The 18,730-nt window shown below is 36.4% G+C and overlaps 1 protein-coding gene across 4 annotated transcripts in view, besides 2 other annotated features; it reads right to left on the reverse strand.

Moving 5' to 3' along the window:
* The window catches only part of ABCB1 (ATP binding cassette subfamily B member 1), a 210,279-nt gene that overhangs the window by 88,069 nt on the left and 103,480 nt on the right, over window positions 1–18,730 (reverse strand). Inside the window, exons 3-7 of one of the 4 annotated variants that reach the window (NM_001348945.2) lie at window positions 11,875–12,055; window positions 9,888–9,993; window positions 9,670–9,740; window positions 9,032–9,105; window positions 4,681–4,729 (exon numbers count right to left, since the gene is read on the reverse strand). In NM_001348945.2, coding sequence (NP_001335874.1) covers window positions 4,681–4,729; window positions 9,032–9,105; window positions 9,670–9,740; window positions 9,888–9,993; window positions 11,875–11,901 — 327 coding nt within the window. In that variant the 5' untranslated portion in view covers window positions 11,902–12,055. Of the gene's footprint in view, window positions 1–4,680; window positions 4,730–9,031; window positions 9,106–9,669; window positions 9,994–11,874; window positions 12,056–18,730 lie in introns of those variants that run through there. The other 3 variants (NM_001348944.2, NM_000927.5, NM_001348946.2) reach the window with 3 other exon arrangements.
* Window positions 7,902–9,101: an enhancer, noted in NCBI's record as "BRD4-independent group 4 enhancer chr7:87228303-87229502 (GRCh37/hg19 assembly coordinates)". NCBI's record gives its function as "activates an origin of replication core promoter dependent on BRD2, P300/CBP, MED14 and CDK7 cofactors, and independent of BRD4, by STARR-seq in HCT116 cells {active_cell/tissue: HCT116}" and the evidence as "EXISTENCE:reporter gene assay evidence [ECO:0000049][PMID:35650434]".
* Window positions 8,311–8,700: an enhancer, noted in NCBI's record as "active region_26233". NCBI's record gives its function as "activates an Ori minimal core promoter by ATAC-STARR-seq in GM12878 lymphoblastoid cells {active_cell/tissue: GM12878}" and the evidence as "EXISTENCE:reporter gene assay evidence [ECO:0000049][PMID:35858748]".

Below are 18,730 nucleotides of genomic sequence, written 5' to 3' on the forward strand. Positions count from 1 at the left end.
CAAATGTAATTACAAGGGTGCTTATAAGAGGGAGGAGGGGGCCTGGAGTCAGTAGGAGATGTGATGATTGAAGTAAGAGGTTGGAGTGATGCAAGGAAGGGCCTGTGAGTCTAGAAATGCAAGTGTCCTCTAGAAGCTGAAAAAGGGAAGGAAACAGAGCCTCCAGAAGAAATGCAATCCTGCTGATACCTTGACTTTAGCCCAGTAAAACTTCGATTCCAGAACAGTAAGGTAATAAACTTGTGTTGTTTTAAGCCACTAAGTGAGTGCTATTTTCCTACAGCAGCAATAGGAAATGAATACACAATGTCAAAAGAGGGATGATAAAGAGGCAGGGCAGAGCTGGAAGGAATCACAGGTTGTGGTCAAAGACTGATACACGTGTGTGTGTGTTTATACCTTCATAGAGGAAAGCTCACCCAGACAATAAGCCCAAGATCCTGTCCACACGTGCAATTTACTAAGGTACTCATGTAATTTATGGAGCGTCGTTGTTGGAACTGAAGCAGTCAGAGAATGTTGAGACTTATTTGTAAGGTCACCAAAATACTCAGAAGAATAACAGGAACATAAGGTGAATGAAGTAGAAGCAATCAAATGCCAAAGTCCTCAAGGAATGGGGGTGGGGGTATACTTCGAGGATACCACCGAAAATAGATAGAAGATAGTATAATTATGCAGAATGAAACTCAAATGACAAAGGAGTTTGCATGAGAATAAAAAAAATTTGAAAATGGCTTTGTGGAACTATAGGAATGTCCACATCATCTCTGACTCCTGTGATAAGGGGTTGAGGAACTTAACTTTACAGGCGAGGGCAGCACAAGAAAAAGCCAAAGAGCTGGAGGAAAATCAGCAAACCGTGACATAACAGAAGCAAATACAAAAAATATAGGAGAAAGTCTAAGTGCTGCTGAGAGATCAAGATAGAATTTTAAAATGTCCACTGAATGTAGAGAGAGACAGGAACAGGAGCCAAACTTCAATAGGTTGAGAACTAAGTCAATGGCGAAATCAAGACAGAACGCAAAGGCCACTTTTGTGTGTGAAGGGAGCTGGCAGGGGTGGCTCCATGAAGGGCATCAGTGCCTTGATGTGTCAATGCCAATGGGACAGATCCAGTTGAGAGGGAAAGATGGAAGATACAGAAGAGAATGAGTGGTAATAATGATGTAAGGTCCCTGAGAAGGCAGAGGAGATAGGAGCCAAAGTATGAATGATTAGTCTTAAGACTAAAACTCTGTCATAACTGGAAAGAAGGAGGAGGAAACAGATTCAGACACAGGTAGGTTTTTATGATTATTGCAGCTGTGAAGCTCAAGGAGTGATTATCCATATAACCATAAAAGTCACCCAAGTTGGTTGGAGCACCAAAGTGGAAAGGGAGGATACTGAGCCAGGTGGCGTAGTCTTTGATGATGAGATGGTCATAAGATCAAAAGATAGCAGCAATAAAGAACTCTTCAATTCCAGAGAGATAACAGTTTAACCAGTCATAAATGATTACAGTTGTTAAAAGCAACTGGGCATATCTGAGTCTACCCTGCTTAGTAGCTATGTGACCCTGTGATTTTGAATGCATTACTTAACTTCTCTAAGTCAAGTTCTTCATCTGGAACACAAGAATAACACAAGTTCCTAAATTGCAGGTACTTATGTCCCTATATGAAGATTATGTCACACAATAAACATAGGGTATTTAACAAATGCCTGGTACAAGGGAAACACTTAACATTGTTAGGTATTATCTATTTAGAAAAAAATTAATGTTTCCCTAAGACACACATAATAGAAAGCTCAGAGTTCAATCTACAGTGCACAATTCTTGCAAGAATATATAATCTTTTTTTTTTTTTTTTTGAGACAGTGTCTCACTCTGTCACCCAGGCTAGAGTGCAGTAGCACAATCTTGGCTCACTGCATCTCCACCTCCTGGGTTCAAGTGATCCTCCCACCTCAGCCTCCCGAGTAGCTGAGACTACAGGCATGTGCCACCATGCCCAGCTAATTTTTGTACTTTTCACATAGACAGGGTTTTGTCATGTTGCCCAGGCTGGTCTTGAACTTCAGGGCTCTAGTGATCTGCCCACCTTAGCCTTCCAAAGTTCTGGGATTACAGGCGTGAGCCACAGCACCTGACCAAGAGTGTATAATCTCTAAGAAGTTCATTTTGTGTAGAAATTACAGCCCAGCTCTATGTGTCACATTTCCTCACTTGCTTTAGATTTTATTCTACTTTTGTGTTTCTGTAAATGTTGAAACAAGGTCTGATATAAATTTAAAAGGCTAGTATAGAATTTTGAATCTATTCCTTACTTCTTTCATCACTTTTTTAAGATTGCTAAAAAATCTCATAGTGGAAATAAATTAACAGACATTGTGTGCAGACAAGAGCTAACACAGCAGCTCTGAGGCTGCCATGTTTAGAAAGGCCTGTATACAAAGGTTGGCCCTTGGCTGGAACTTGGATTTGGGGAGGATTACCACCATTCTAACTGATAAGTATGGCCAAACTATCTGTACAAACAATATGATTCTTCATTCTGCAGTTCTGCCTTCCTTCTATGAGTCTGAAATTTTGGTGCATGCTGGGTAGGTGCCTACATGATCAGTTCCTAATAAAATCCTTGGGCACTGAGTCTCTAATGAGCTTCTCTGATAAACAGCATTCTACAAGTGCTGTCTTAACTCATTGCTTGGGGAAATTCAGTGTGCCCTGTGACTCCATTAGGAGAGAACTCTAGGAGCTTGCACCTGGTTTCTTCTGGACTTCTCCCCACTCGCCTTTTGCCATGGCTGATTTTGCCTTGTATCCTTTTGTTGTAATAAACATTAGCCATAAATCCTCTGGGTCCTCCTAGTCTGAATCACTGAAGCTGGGCTTCTTGGAAACCCTGAACACACAATGTTTTTTGTCTTCACTGAAAACTATTATTAATAAGCAATGCCAGTGACATCACCAATATATTGTTAAACTTTTATTATGTTCTTGTGTTTATAAGTTTTATATTGAAGTTACATTCAATGTTTTCTATGTTGACTTTTCAGGAAAAAGATGTGAGGAAAATCTATCTAAGTAGTAGAGTACTTCATCAAGAGACTTAGAATATATTCTCTCTATCCTGGCCCCATTGTACATCCTCAGACAAGTGAACATGTCTGGCTCCAGTTTCTTCATGTGTAAAACTGGAATAATAATAGTATCTTTCTCAAAAGGAGTTGTAAGGATTAAATGAGATTAAATATGAAATACTTAGGACAATGCTTGGCACACAGTGCTTTATGTGTGCTATTACTACTACCTCATATTAAAGCTCCATATTTTTATTCTTTTGTGCCTTAAAATGAATTATTGATAACATTGCCTCTATATAGTAGGTCTGTTAAATTTTCTAAAATATAAGACTCCTAAGGTTTAAAAAAATTTAACTACAAATAATAAAAACTGAAAGTCTCAAAGTGACAGCACTGAAATCCTGGGGATAAATACAACTTTAACCTAAACGCTTCTTTCCATACAAGAAAGTAACAATGAAAACTGTCACTTGGTTACTCAAGTAGCCTAAGAATGACTCAAGTACATAGTCTCATCTCACCAAAATTCCAAAGGGCGTAGAGATAGAATAAAAGCAGGAGTCATGGCAAGAGCAATGGTAGCACAGAGAAACGAAGATCACATAAGGGAACCATAGAGTCCTCAGTGTAAAAGTCACATGACTGTTTTTTCCCTACCTACAACTATTTTTATAGTCAATTTATTAAAATCCATTTTGCAAGACAATCTATCCACTCCCTTACCTTAAAAAAATTGCTGTGTTATGACTGAATTATAAAGCATGTGCTGTTGGACTTAATTGGTTTAGTAGTCTTCCAGGTTCTAATCTCTGGAATCTTTCACCTAACAGTTCACCTAAATTTGTACTCTTAGAAAAAAGGAAGTAAGAATCCAGGTAAATAAGAGGTCATTAACTAGGCAGAGGTTGCAGTGAGCCAAGATCACAGCACTGAGGTCATCAACCAACCACACATATATGATACATGTCTGATTCCAAGTGTGATTAAAGAAAAGCTTCTAAAAAAACCACTGTGCAACCAGAAAATGAAATAAAGAGTTACAATAAGGTTTTCGAATTCTAGATTTTCATCTGTTTAACACAGGGGAATAATGGCATATGACATATTTGAAATCATAGTAATAAATAATCCATTGCTACCTTTTATTGTTAGTAATGGATTTTGAACTAAAATTTGCAATGGACTAACCTAAATGACCTAAAATTTGCATAGTAATAAATAATCCATTGCTAACTTTTATTGATAGCAACTGACTTTGACCTAAAAAACCTGCCAAATTTCAGAGCCATTAAAGACAGCATTCTATGTGATTGGTTTCCTCTATGCAGATGGGAGAGGTGCTTGTGTAGGTAATGGATCACTGGCAACATAATTCATTAGAAGAATTGAAATCTAAGTCAGGAATGGTGGCTGTAGATTAGTAATATAGATAGCAAGTTATGATCAGCATTCTCCTGAAAATAAGCTAAATCAAACCAATTTATTTTGCATCTCCATTAACATACCCTATACGAAAATCTTACATCAGATGAAATATCTCTTTTCCATGTAAGGAGATGTCAAATTTCCGAAGTATTTTGAATAGTTAATAAATTCAAAACTCACCATTGAAAATACACTGACAGTTGGTTTCTTTTCCTTCTTATCTTTTTCACTGCAAAACAGCAATGGAATTACATAAAACTTTAAAAAGTACATATTTTTTAAATTACCCAAATTAACATAGAATGTATATTTAATGACTAATAGGAAGAAGAAATATGTCTATATTATACAGTTAAAAAACAGGATGATAATAGTATGACCCCATTTATAATGTTTAAATATGTTTACATATATCTTAGAAATCTACATACGTGGTTATCACTGAGTGCTGGAATCTCTCTAAAAATATTTTCTTCCTTGTGCCTTTGATATTTCCTGATTTGCTATGATGAATACATACATACACCCTTTGCAATTAGAAAAATATACATACTGAAAAGAGTTCCCTGTTTTTATTCTAATTAGAAAATCATTCATGCTTCCCCTTAATTATGAATCCCCTTAATTGTCATTTGATTAATGATGGCAGTAGACATTTTATCCATCCACTACCCAGATATTATTCTTAATCCTTCCCTTTCTAGTGAAGAGAAGTGGCAATTAGATGCTGGGCATAACTAGCCTCAGAAGAAAATTAAATTACTCCTTATAAGCAAATCTAATTGTGAAAAAAATGTCTGGAGTCCTAAATGGACCATTATGAAATAAATGCACGCTAGAAAGCTATGGTCAGAAATGATGTTCTATAAATTGTCAAAAAGTTCTCCTCAGGCATAAGGTCAACTATTATTTTGAGCCCAGATACAAATGAATCTAACTCTGTAGCCCATTTTCTACTCTGTGTAACTGCTACCTAGGATGTGAAAGCAAACCAACCGTAACAAATCTGCCTCATCTGTATTTTTGTAGGTATAAAAGAAAAACTATTTTAGAAAAGATTTGTGTTATTTTTTACACGGTTTTTAAGTTCATAAGGTAAATTCATCTTTGTCTTTGTTCTTTACACTAAGTGAGGTCAAAAGAGGTGAGGAGACTTCTAAAGAAAAAAATCCAGAGTTTACCCATTTGGCTTTGGAGTAATGTTAGACAGACATAAAATACACAAACACAACTCTTCAGGTTTGGTCCCACCCAATTCCCAGTAAAGGCATGGTTTCAGTATCCCTGGAACCAGGATGAAAGGAGAAAAATAGCCATAAATAGTTGAGTTTTAGCTCTAAGCCTTTTATTTATTTTTTTGTTCTCTAAAACAGCTGCTACTCTGGAGAAGTTATAATGTTCCAGGCACTGGCTAAGTAAGCACTTCCCACACACAATTCATAAACAATTCTATGAGGAAGACACATTTTTGTTCTTTTAGAGACGTAGAAGAGTGAGAAGAGTTAACTTGTCCAAGGTTCACAGCTATAACTAAGCCAATATTTAAATGCCAAGTCTGTTCCCTGACCACCAAACTATAAGGTGCAACCTCAGATTTCTGAGATACTGCATCGCATCACATTAAAATGCACTTTCACACAAACTCTCACCCCTACTAGATAACTTACTTATCCCCATTAGCACAAAAAACAGTGCTTAGAAAGACAAGTCATTCATCAAACATCATTTTAATAAAGAATCTTTGCTAATAGTCATATTCCAAATAGGACTATTATCCCAGCATTATCTATTACCAAAGCCATATGCTTCTTTACAATCCCATGTTAAAATAGATTTAAATCAATGGCAATGAACACAATTTAATAAGAACTACTTTAAAATATAATCTCTAATTTGAAAAAAAAAGTCTATAGGCCATGATAGAACCAATAATAGAAATATGTGAAAGATCATACAATTTTCTTTACTGTTTCTCTTCACATACCCTCAATATTTCTTAGTTAAATCTACCTAAATGTTTGTATCATAAGTACATAATTCTTTAAGCTATCAAGTTTTCAAAAATACAAAGTTAAAAACAAAAAGTGGAATACCTACCCTCCACTCTATGGAGTCTTTTTCATGGTTTATATGAACATTTTTGTTACAAAAATTTTCAATTGCAATTACATGTTCTCCTACCATTATCACATCTAAGAAAAGTGATTACAATTCTGATATTGGCTAATATCTAATGCACATTCAAATCTCCCAAGAATGTTTTCCATAGGATTTTTTCCTTGTTGAACTTTTAGATTGTTTTTGTTTTGTTTTGTAATGTTCACACACTACGTTTGGTAGTTATATCTCTTTAGTCTCTATTAATCTAGAAGTCCTCCTTTTATTTTTTTAACATTGACTTTTGTAAAGGAACAAGAACAGCTGTCTTACAGAATGTCCCACATCTTGGGTATACCTGTATCAAACTGAATACAAATGGGAGGTGCAATAAATGTAAAATACACATCAAACAGGAGATTTAGCATAAAAGAGAATGTAAACTATCTTATTAATCATTTTGATTACATGTAGAAAATCCAATCTTTTGGACATATTGAGTTCTATAAAATATATTTACAAAATTACTTTATCTTTTTATTTTCATTTTTTACTGTTGCTACTAGAAAATTTTAAATTACAAATGTGGCTCACATGATATATCCATTGGACAGCCCCAGTCTACAAGTTTAATTGTATACAGACTAAATGTTTTTGCAGATATATTAATATTTGCTAGGTGATGTTGTTTACTCAAAATCCAAGTGATGAGTCATTTACTACAGTCCATTCTACCGTGAGAGATACCAGGTCTGATCACTCGGTTAAGGTGCTAACTGCAAAATCTTTAATTGGAGAAGCATATTCTCCTTCCAATTAGTAAACATTCTGAAGAAAATTCTTAGATACAACATTTTTCTGATAGTTTAGAGTTCATTGACAATCCTTGCCTGAATCTATTATAACAATGGAAGTTCCAAAATGATAGCTGGAATTTTTCTCTAAAGATCATTGCTTTATTTTCTCTACCTCTCACACTTTCTTTCAGTTTCCCTTCTCTCAGAATATTAAGCATTCAGCAGTAGCATTCAGTATCTCAAAATCAGTTACAGTTACGATGTTCTTTGATGCTCAAATTGTCCCAGAGTTGGCCATTGGAAGCATCTTCCAGACAGCTTCAGTGTGCTTTCGACTACTCCATTAAACTCCACTTCCTTATTTTCAGGTACCACAAGATACTCCAGGCTCACTTTCTATTTTTCCTGTCCCAGACCTGGCTGAAATTAGCTACTGAGGGGTTCATTTCTTTTAGGGAGGAATGGTATTTAGAAACCCAGATCTGGTACTAACAGTGCTCATTGTTACTGTCCCTTTCAGTGGACTGAAAATGAACTATTAAAAGATTATGAATTCATATTGAAATTTCTAATTCAAACTTAACATTATTTTTAAAAATGTATTTGATTTCCACATTTGTATTTTTTCTCTTACACTGAAAAGCTTGGTTTCTTATAATATTAATGTGTTTACTAATTTATCTTATAATTTACATTACAGTTTCTAATATTATTAAACTTACTAGTCTATTTTACAATTTACTACTAACAATGAATCTATTTAGTGAAGTTTTAAATATTCTATAAAGGCAGAGCACCATGATCAAAATTTACTTTAAATAATTATTTTCCCTATATGATTACATTACCAATATTATATACAGATATTTATTGCCAGTTAACAACCTAAATGTACTTTTGACCTTCTGTCTCATCAGCCAGGCCACAAACGCGATGTTTACATAGCCATTTACCGGAAGCAAGAGCCTGGACCACAGAGCAGATCACCAGCAGCATATGGCTCACGTGTGGGCGACCAACACCACTTGAAAAGCAGAAGTTCATAAGACAGAAACACATATGAGCATCCGCCTGTCTGGGGCAGGAAAGCTGAGAAAGAGGCACACCAAGACTAAGGGAAAGAGGCCGGGAAGGGTAAAAAGGTGAAATGAAAAGAGGTTGGTGAATGACTAAGAACGGTTGGATAGGACAAATAAGTTCCAATGTTCGATAGCAGACGAGGGTGACTACAGTTAGCAATATATTGTATATTTCAAAGTAGCTAGAAGACTTAAAATGTTATCAACACATAGAAATGAAATATACCTAAGGTGATGTATCCTTCAAATACCCGGACTTGATCATTACACATTCCGGGCATGTAAAAAACGCTTCCATGTACCCCATTTCATAAATATGTAAAATATTATGTATCATTAAAAGAAAGAACAAAAAAGACAGGGAAAATGCATATGCTGTGCTCCACTCAGCCAACAAACTTCTGCTCTAAGCAGGGATATTGATTCCAAAGGCTAGCTTGCGTTTCTTAAAAATAATTAAAAACAACAACATGTCATTTATTTCAGAGCTGGAGGCTAGAAATAAATTACTCAAATCTCGCAACTATGTAAACTATGAAAATGAAACAAGCTAGTTACCTTTTATTGTTCAGTTTAAAAAAGTTCTTCTTCTTTGCTCCTCCATTGCGGTCCCCTTCAAGATCCATTCCGACCTGAAGAGAAACCGCAGCTCATTAGCCAAATGCATGAGCCTCAGGCGCGCTGGAGGTGAGACTAACCTCTAGTCCCCCGTCGAAGCCAGAGAGCAGTAAGAGGGAGCGCCCGCCGTTGATGCCCCAGCTGCTCTGGCCGCGATGGGCACTGCAGGGGCTTTCCTGTGCGCGGGGTCTCCAGCATCTCCACGAAGGCAGAGTTGGGGGTCTGGCAGCGCGTTCTGGACTTTGCCCGCCGCCAGTGCGATTCTCCCTCCCGGTTCCAGTCGCCGCGGACGATGCTTCCTCCCACCCACCGCCCGCGGGCTCAGAGAGCAGGTCCCCGCACCGCGCGGGCTGTGCGCGCTCCGGGCAACATGGTCCAGTGCCACTACGGTTTGGGCGCTGCTCCAGGAGCTCCTGAGTCTAGATCTAACCCCACTTGGTCCCCATGGACTTGCCAGAGGACTTCACACTATCCACGCCTCAAGAAGCCCTTCTCCCGTGAAGACCAAGTTCAGGAAATCTGAAAGCCTGACACTTGGGAACTGTCCCATAGTAGCTCCCAGCTTTGCGTGCCCCTACCTCGCGCTCCTTGGAACGGCCACCAAGACGTGAAATTTTGGAAGAAGATACTCCGACTTTAGTGGAAAGACCTAAAGGAAACGAACAGCGGCCTCTGCTTCTTTGAGCTTGGAAGAGCCGCTACTCGAATGAGCTCAGGCTTCCTGTGGCAAAGAGAGCGAAGCGGCTGTGCTCAGCCCACGCCCCGGCGCTGTTCCTGCCCAGCCAATCAGCCTCACCACAGATGACTGCTCCCGGCCCGGATTGACTGAATGCTGATTCCTCGAGAAACTGCGAAACAGGTTGAATTTCCAGGAGGAATGTTCTGGCTTCCGTTGCACCTCTCTAGAAAGGGCAAGTAGAGAAACGCGCATCAGCTGAATCATTGGGGACATTTCAACTTATGTAGACACGTCTTTCAAAGTTCACATAAGTCTTCATATCCATATAACTACAGGACGTAGTTAAGGGAAATTTTCTCGGGATTCGCATTTAATACAGTTAATACAAAAACTCCGACCTCTCCAATTCTGTATCACCTTTCTGCTTCCTAACACCTTTGAAAAGGCTAGGAGAAATTTTTCTGCAGTGGTCTTTCTTCAGCATGCTTGACAGTTTCTGAGTTACATCTGTTCATCCTTTATTTGATGATAAATGGAATGAAAGAAAAAGGAAGTTTTAAAAAATATATAGAGACAGGTATTTCAAGGTACAAATGCTATTTCAAAGTGTGTAATATTTTAAAACTTCAGACGTCAGATCAATGCCCGTGTTTTTCCAGGGCATTTTAAATTCTTACATTTTAATTCAAATTAGTAAAATAAACATAGCATGTTTTAGCATATTACATTAGTTGTAATTTCCTTCCATATTTACTGCCAACATTTAATATTTTTTCCTGTCCACTATTTACTTCAAACTGAGGAAAAGTACGTGCAATCTGCACAATTCAAAATTGTAAAGCAATGCTAACTCACATCAGAGCTTTTCTTACTTCTTATGAACATAGAGGAAATAGGTTTGTTGTATCCTCTAGTCTACATTCTATGACTTTCACATATTACCTATCAGTTTATTGCATAAGTTTAGAAGAAGAAAATCACTTTGTTTTTTACTGCATAGTCTGAGGATGTTTCCACTTTCTTTAAATAACTCATACTTCAAAGCCATAATTTTTTTCTATTCTTGACTACAAATTTTCCTTATCTTGATATATTTTGTTCTTGGCCTTACAATACAATGAAGTTTTCTTTTGTTTTTCTTTCTTTTTTCTTTTTTGAGACGGAGTCTTGCTTTGTCGCCCAGGCTGGAGTGCAGTGGCAGGATCTCGGCTCACTGCAAGCTCCGCCTCCCGGGTTCACACCATTCTCCTGCCTCAGCCTCCCAGGTAGCTGGGACTACAGGCTCCCGCCACCACGCCCGGCTAATTTTTTGTATTTTTCGTAGAGACTGGGTTTCACTGTGTTAGCCAGGATGGTCTTGATCTCCTGACCTCGTGATCCGCCCGCCTCGGCCTCCCAAAGTGCAGGGATTACAGGCGTGAGCTACAGCTCGGCCTCTTTTTTTTTTTTTTTTTTTTTTTTTCACAAATTGTTAATTAGGCTTCTAACAGGCCACTATTTTTTCCACATGTTCTAATTGCATATGCAAGTGTACAGCATTGTTCACTGTTTAAAGGCTTAACAACAACCCTGTGGTCCATCTGGGGTAAATGTAAAAGCTTTCATCTTCATTACATGCGTTTTTAATCTTATTTGTGCCTATGATCTCTGTTTTCACTTTTGTTTTGCTTTGTTGCTTTATCTCACCTTTCATTTATGTAATCTTGTTGTATTTTATGTATCCTTTTGAATGGCCTTAAACCCTCCCTAAACAGTGCAGGATATAAATACAGTGCTATACTGTTATGTTGATTATACTATTTCTACAATCTTGAGCATCAGGTAAAGATCTCTATCAAAGATATAAGTAAGTTAAAGATCAGAATAACACAGATTTTAAAAATAAGATTCTACCATTCTATTATATTGTATTCCATTTCTTTGCTCCACTGACATGAAAGTGTGAATATAAAACATGATGGACCTAAAACAAACTAGCTCTTGCTACTTTCAACAGTCCTTGGTTTCTTGAAAGACACCAGTCTTGCATTTGTGCCACCACCACTTCTGTCAAGCTGAACTTGGCTGTTCTCCTTAAGCTTCCTTAATTTCTGATGAAACCTACCTGGTCCCCTTGCAAGTTGACACTCATATACCTTCATTCAAGCGGTGATATTTCCATTTGAAGTGACTGCCACAATCTGCACCTTCTTGTCCTCCGCTCTCATGTAGCCATTTCACCAACTTGTCTATACTCTGACAACATTAAAGATTTGCCTCTCTGCTGCAGTCTGTTCTATATGTATCTATGGGAGTAATAATATATAATGATAATAATAACAACTAACATTTATTAACTACTGGTCATTTATCAGGAACTGCCAAGCACTTCAAAGAAATTAAGTCATTTAATCTTTACAAGAATCCTATGAAGTAGTTACTATTTTTGTTACTCCCATATTACAATAAAAGACACTGAGGTTTGCATTATTTGCCCAGTCACACAGCAGGTAAGGTGCTAACCAGTAGTCCCTCTCTCATAACTGTACTCTTAACCACTATCCTACACTGTAGTACATTATCATAGGACACACCACTTCACTGCCTTTTCCAGTCCCACGAAGTGTTTTCTCCTTATGAGTCCATCTTGGAAAACCTGCAATGGCTCCCTGCCACAGACTATATCATATCTAACAGTTTCCTCTTAGCTTTTAAGAACCACAACACATCACTTCTCTCTAATCATCTTCCTCACCCTCAACATGTACATGTTCACTCCATTTCAGCCAAACTCACTGGGCTTCTCAGATGATATGTGCTTTTCACTCTGTGCTTTTCCACATGTAAATCATTAAACTAAACTAATTTACAAAAGTTTTCTTCTTTAGTACCTGGCTGCATTAAACTATTTGGACTTCAAAGGCAGAAAAACTTAGATAAGGACCATCTCTGCTGATTATTATGCATAGGTTTGAACGGGTTACTTAACTCTGCTATCCCACAGTTACCTTTTTGGTAAAGAGTAGATAGTATCTTCTAATGTTATGGCAAGATTAAGTGATTTGTGTATTTAAAAGATTTGTACAGTGCCTGAAACACCCTAAACATTCAACATTGCTATATATTAGTAATAATGCCCTCTTCTCAATCTCTTTTTGCCCTCCTTAGCATTCTTTGCAACTCATGTATGTAGTCACATCTATGTATCCATATACGTTTGACCTATTATTCTCATATCCCAGCTCTGAGTCCTTTATTATGAGTATTAACAACACATTTATAGAAATTAAAAAGCTGTTCACCTATTTTTCCTTCTCCTATGGTTTTTAATTCTTTTGGATGTTTTTCTCATAATTCTTTTATTGTAAATCTTATGTATCTTTCTCTGATCTCTCTAATAATTTATTTTCTGTATTTTTCCTAGCTCCTCTATTTAGCCCATCTGAGTCCAGATTGAAGGTTCAACATGCTTAAAGAAGGAATGCAACTCACCTCAATGAAGTTAATTGACCTGAGGCAGAGAAAGAATACAAGTTTCCACTCAGTCCAAAGAGCAAGACATATGACTCACTTGTGTTAACAATAATAACACAATATTGTTATTGTGTTACAATAACACAATAATAAGGGATCCACACACTCTCCACCCTTTCACATGTAATGATTTTTATGTATGAAGGACATGTGATGATAGGGGATATTAAATGACTGTACTTGATAGGGGATATTAAATGACTGTGCTTGAACTCATGTTGGATTACATCAGATTGCTTCTATGGACACCTGCATTGAAAAAAAAATCCAGATTCCGAAGGTCAATAGGATCATTTTCAGAGGTCGTTTGTCTTGCCATCATTTAGCCAATACAGCAACAGACATGAGTTGTGTGAAATGGTGATCAGATGATGATAAATTAATTTAATTTTAATTAAGTCGCTTAGTGAGTTAGCCATGTGATAAGTCGATGGCAAATGGAAACCTGAATTATACTCCTCTTTGAACACTTCCCCATCTACTACAGCCAGAAATATTTTCTACCACTCCGCAATCCTACTTTTCAGTATCGGCATCTCTCATTTTGTATTTATTATTAATGTTTCATATGATTATGAATTTTTTAAATATTCAAACTGGACAGAGACTTATACAAAATAAAGTTTCAATAAATGTTTGTAGAAAATATTAGGTGCTGAGAGTATGACATCAGAGGCAGATTTATGGAAATTACACTAGTAGGCTAAATGCCTAAGTTATCATTAGCGTGCCTTCAAAGATCCGTTGCCATGAACTATCTCCCTTATCAACTTCTTTTTATTGAGATGGAGTATTACTCTGTCTCCCAGGCTGGAGTGTAGTGTTAATAATCCAGGCGCACTGCAACCTCCGCCTCCTGGGTTCCAGCAATTCTCATGCCTCAGCCTCCTGAGTAGCTGGGATTATGGGAGTGCACCAGCACACCAGGCTAATTTTTGTAATTTTAGTAGAAATGGGGTTTCACCACATTGACTAGGCTGATCTTGAACTTCTGGCCTCAAGTGATCCACCCACCTCAGCCTCCCAAAGTGCTGGGATTATAGGCATGAGCCACCACGCCCAGCCTCCTCTATCAACTTCTAAGATCTTTAAAACTCCATTAGAGAATCATCTCTCTGAGTAAGTCACTGCCCCCTATTAAAATAAATCTACCATAATAGCACAAGAAATGTTTTTAAATGAATGACAAAATTAAGAGGAGAGAAGACAACTGAGTAAGATAAAGGGAAAGAAGAAAATGAAGTGGCAACTCTTGGAATTCCAGCTTCATGACTTACTAGCTGTGTGGCTTTGAAGAAATACTCCACTGCTCAAAAGACTTGATTTCTGTGTCATTTGAAGAAATACTCCACTGCTCAAAAACCTTGATTTCTGTGTCATTCAAATAAAGACAAAAACAGCATATTCCTAGGGTTTTTGTAAGAAGAAAATAAGGTAAGATTTGATGTGTGTTTAGTATAAATTGTATTATTTCCCAAATATCCTAATAAAGATGGTCAATGGAGCCAAGATATGAATAAAAATTAAGAACATGAGAGTAAAAGTGATGACTGGAAAGGGCTAGTAATGGACATTGAAAATAAATAATAATATGGCAATAATTTTATTACTTTTAAAGAAATCTATAAAAACAACAAAATTATGAAGAAAATTGAATAAATTCACATTTAAAACCAACAACAAACCATATAGCTATTTATTGCAAATATCACAATAGGTTAATATTCTTAATATATAAAGAGCTTATATAAATGGATAAGAAAAAATTCAAAGGTCTAATAGAACCGAGCAAAAGATGCAAATAGGCAATTCATATAAAAAAGTATGTAGTATACTGGTACACAGAAGAAAACATACTGAAATATTCATGCTAACTACAAAGAAATGCAAATTACAACAGCAAAGATATTTTGAAAAATGAGACTATCACATGCTCACAAGAGTTAAATAAACAAGTAGGAGTTGAAAATTATTCAAATGAATAAGGAAACATACATAAGGAAAACTTAAGTCTGTTTGACTCAGTAATTCAATTTTAGGAAATCTATCTTAAAGAAATAATTCCAAGTACAGAAAAAAATATCAGCCAAAGGTATTCATTGCTGCTTTATTTTATAACAGTGAAAAATGAGCAGTGACCTGAATACTTAACCACATATATATGGATGAATTAATTATTATACATCCTCTTTAAAAAAGTAGTAATATAAAACGTGCTTACAGAGTTTGTGATAACCTCAGAAAATACCTATGCTAATATGCAAGGACAAAAGGCAGGGGAAAATTATAATAGCATAATATTCACTATATCAAGCAAATTAATTGGTGTAATATTAGAGATAAAGATATCAAAGTGTCAAGAGTGATTATCTTTTAGTGATGAAAGTTAGGTCTGAGTTTACTTTAATTTTTTCTGTATTTGAGAAATTTCCTATATTAAAAGTGTATTATTTTATAATATTTTTTATAAAAGTTTGGAGATGGGGATGAGAATGCATTTTCAGAATCCTGGTTATTAGTATCTATCTCTCAGTGGAGTTTGCTCCTTATTAAGGGACACTCACATTGAATGAAGGCCAAAATTAACTGGCTAAAACAAGAAACATTGAGAATTCCCAGTATTTTTCATTTATTAATAAGTTTCTCATATTTCTGAAAATCTTACCCATGTTTCTAAGAAAAGTGAGAGAGGAAGAAGAGAGAAAGAGGTAGAGATAGAGATTCTCCTTAAGTAATAAGAAAATACATGGGAGGCTGAAATAACTGGATTCTAGCTTTGGTCATCAACTGTCTATATAAGTTGGATACATGGTTTTTTTCTAATTACTGTTTTCATATCAGCCTCAAAGAGTTATTGAGAAGATCAAAGCCCTGGAGGTATTTTTCATAACTAAGCACCATATACCTCCACTTGAGGAAGATAATACAGAAGAGAGAAGTCCAATTAAGGACTTCAGTGTCATTCTCCTGAAGAATTTAAGTTCTGTGAGGGTAGAAATCTTGTCTCTATTTTTATTCTGTATATAAAATACAGCACATACTATGTGCTCAATTCCTCCTTTGGGAGAGCTAGAGAAATGTCCATTAACAGCATTATTTGACACTTTATAGCTTATCCAAACAAATAAAGATGGACTTAAGCTGGGGAATTATTTTTTTCTTTGATTCTTTTTTTTTTCTTTACTTAATTTGTGTGTGTGTGAGACAGGGTCTTGCTCTGTCACCAAGGTTGAAGCACAGTGGCGCAATCACAGCTCACTGCAGCCTCAACCTCCTGCATTCAAAGGATCTCCCCACATCCTCCTCTCAAGTAGCTGGGACCAAAGGTGTGCGCCACCTTGCCTGGCTAATTTTTTTTTGTAGAGATAGGCTGTCACTATGTTGCCCAGGCTGGCTAAAACTTTTATTGATCACTATGTGGCAAGTACTTTGCTAGATGCTGACAATATGAAGATGAGCCGTGTAAAGTTCCTCAAGTTCTGTGTGTATATGTTGTTAAAGGTGAAAACGATTAGGATAATTTTAGCATATAAGGCAACTGTTTTGTTTTCATTTTGTTTTTACAAACAGACTGAACTTATATATCTAAAGTGACCAACTTCCTTTTCAAAGTCAATACCCAAGGAAGCTATATACCAATTTCAATGATGCCTGCCAAGAAATAGTTGGAACTTTTTTGTTGGATTTGTCCTCAGAGTCTACAAAAATATGATTTTAATGTCCTCAATAATAGCAAATTTTGCCTTTTACTGATAAATTTAAGTTTTAGAAACAAGATAACCCAACATTGCAGTAAAGAACATTGGCTTTAGCACCAAACAGATTGGGTTTAAGTTCTGGTCATTTGACATTGGAAAATTTATTTCTTTTGCTGCAACTAAAACTCCTTACTTGTAAAATAAGACAGTGAGTGTAAAGCAATCAGCTTAGTACCTGGATGTCTATATTCCGAATGTTTACTTGTGTTTATGTTGTTATTGTTAATAGACTAGTAAGTGATTTGCTTGAAAGAAGTTTCAATTAAAAATGAAATCTGGCTATAAAGTAATAAGCCAAATTTTCTCCTGTGCTTAGCAAATTATTCTGAAGATTATTCCTCAGGGAAATTCCTTTGACATTCAACACATATTTGGTTGGAACAATCCTACTATGTACCTATTTCCTCATTCTCTTAATTTATAACCAAACCCTTTGCCCTAAGATATCAGCACTGAGGAATTCCTGACATAAAAATAACAATATTACCCGAAATGGCTTTTGAATTGCAGAGCTTATAAAAACACCATTTCCCTTTTAGTTTTTTTTATCGTTTTATGATTCATAGACTTTGAACTTGTTTAATCTCAAATGAACTCTCTCCCAGGAGCAAGGTCAAGTTAGTTCAATGAGGTAACGTTCACTCACTTATTTCTTTAGAACACTTAGTATTATTTCACAGGACATATCTATTTAAAATATATTTCCATATACAAGAAACACTGCTAGCAGACCAATGAACAGTTGGTTAGATCTGACTTTACAATTTTAAGTTAGGAAATATTTTATTTTAAATTTGTATTGGAAACTCATTCATTCACTCAACAGTATTAATCAAGTACCCTGTATATGTCACATATTACTCTAAGTGCTTCGTATATATCCATGAGCAAAACATACAAAAATCCCTGCCTAGGTAGAACTTATATTTGATGGTAAGAGTAGGCAGATAGATAACAACACAGTAAATAAGTGATTTTGTATGTTAAAAAGAGTAAAGTATTACGGTGAAAAACAGAGCAGGGGAAAGAGAGTGGAAGTACCAGGTGGGCAAAGTTTACAATTTTAAGTAGGATAGTCAGGGCAGACCTCATTAAGGAGATAACTTTGAGCCAAGACGGGATAGAGCAGAAGGAAAGTTTTGAGTGGTGCCATGAATATATTGGAGATCCTCGAATACTAATAATTTTAAGGTTATTTCTTTAAAATAACCTTAATTTCATGCTCTAGTTTTTCTCTCTGGATTCATAGATGTTTGAGCTTGCAAGAGAATGTAGAGGTCATCTTATCCACTTCCTTCACTACTCTGAGTCTCTGAAATGCCAAAGAACTTGACCAAAAACACACATTCAGCTAGAAAGAGGGCCAAGTTAACAACACAGGTTTTCTGACACTGAGCTTGCTGTTCATTCTATCATATTGACAGGAGGATTCTAACAGTGAGGATTTTAGATTGGCTAGCATGGGAATCCATGCTAAGGGGACAGGCGCAATCATATTCTCTAGCTATTTTACTTCACTTTTGCATCAATTTTCTGTCATCTTGATTTTATTTTTGCTCTTGACCAGCTAGACCAGCTTGTTTTAATGATCATTCTTCAGGATCTAGCAGAAGGGCTGTAGGTCCTAGAGTACATTTTATCTACTTGCCTTAGTGGTATCTGTAGTCCAAGTATCAGATACCAAAGCTG

Source organism: Homo sapiens, chromosome 7 (genome assembly GCF_000001405.40).
Source record: "Homo sapiens chromosome 7, GRCh38.p14 Primary Assembly".
NCBI lineage: Eukaryota > Metazoa > Chordata > Mammalia > Primates > Hominidae > Homo > Homo sapiens.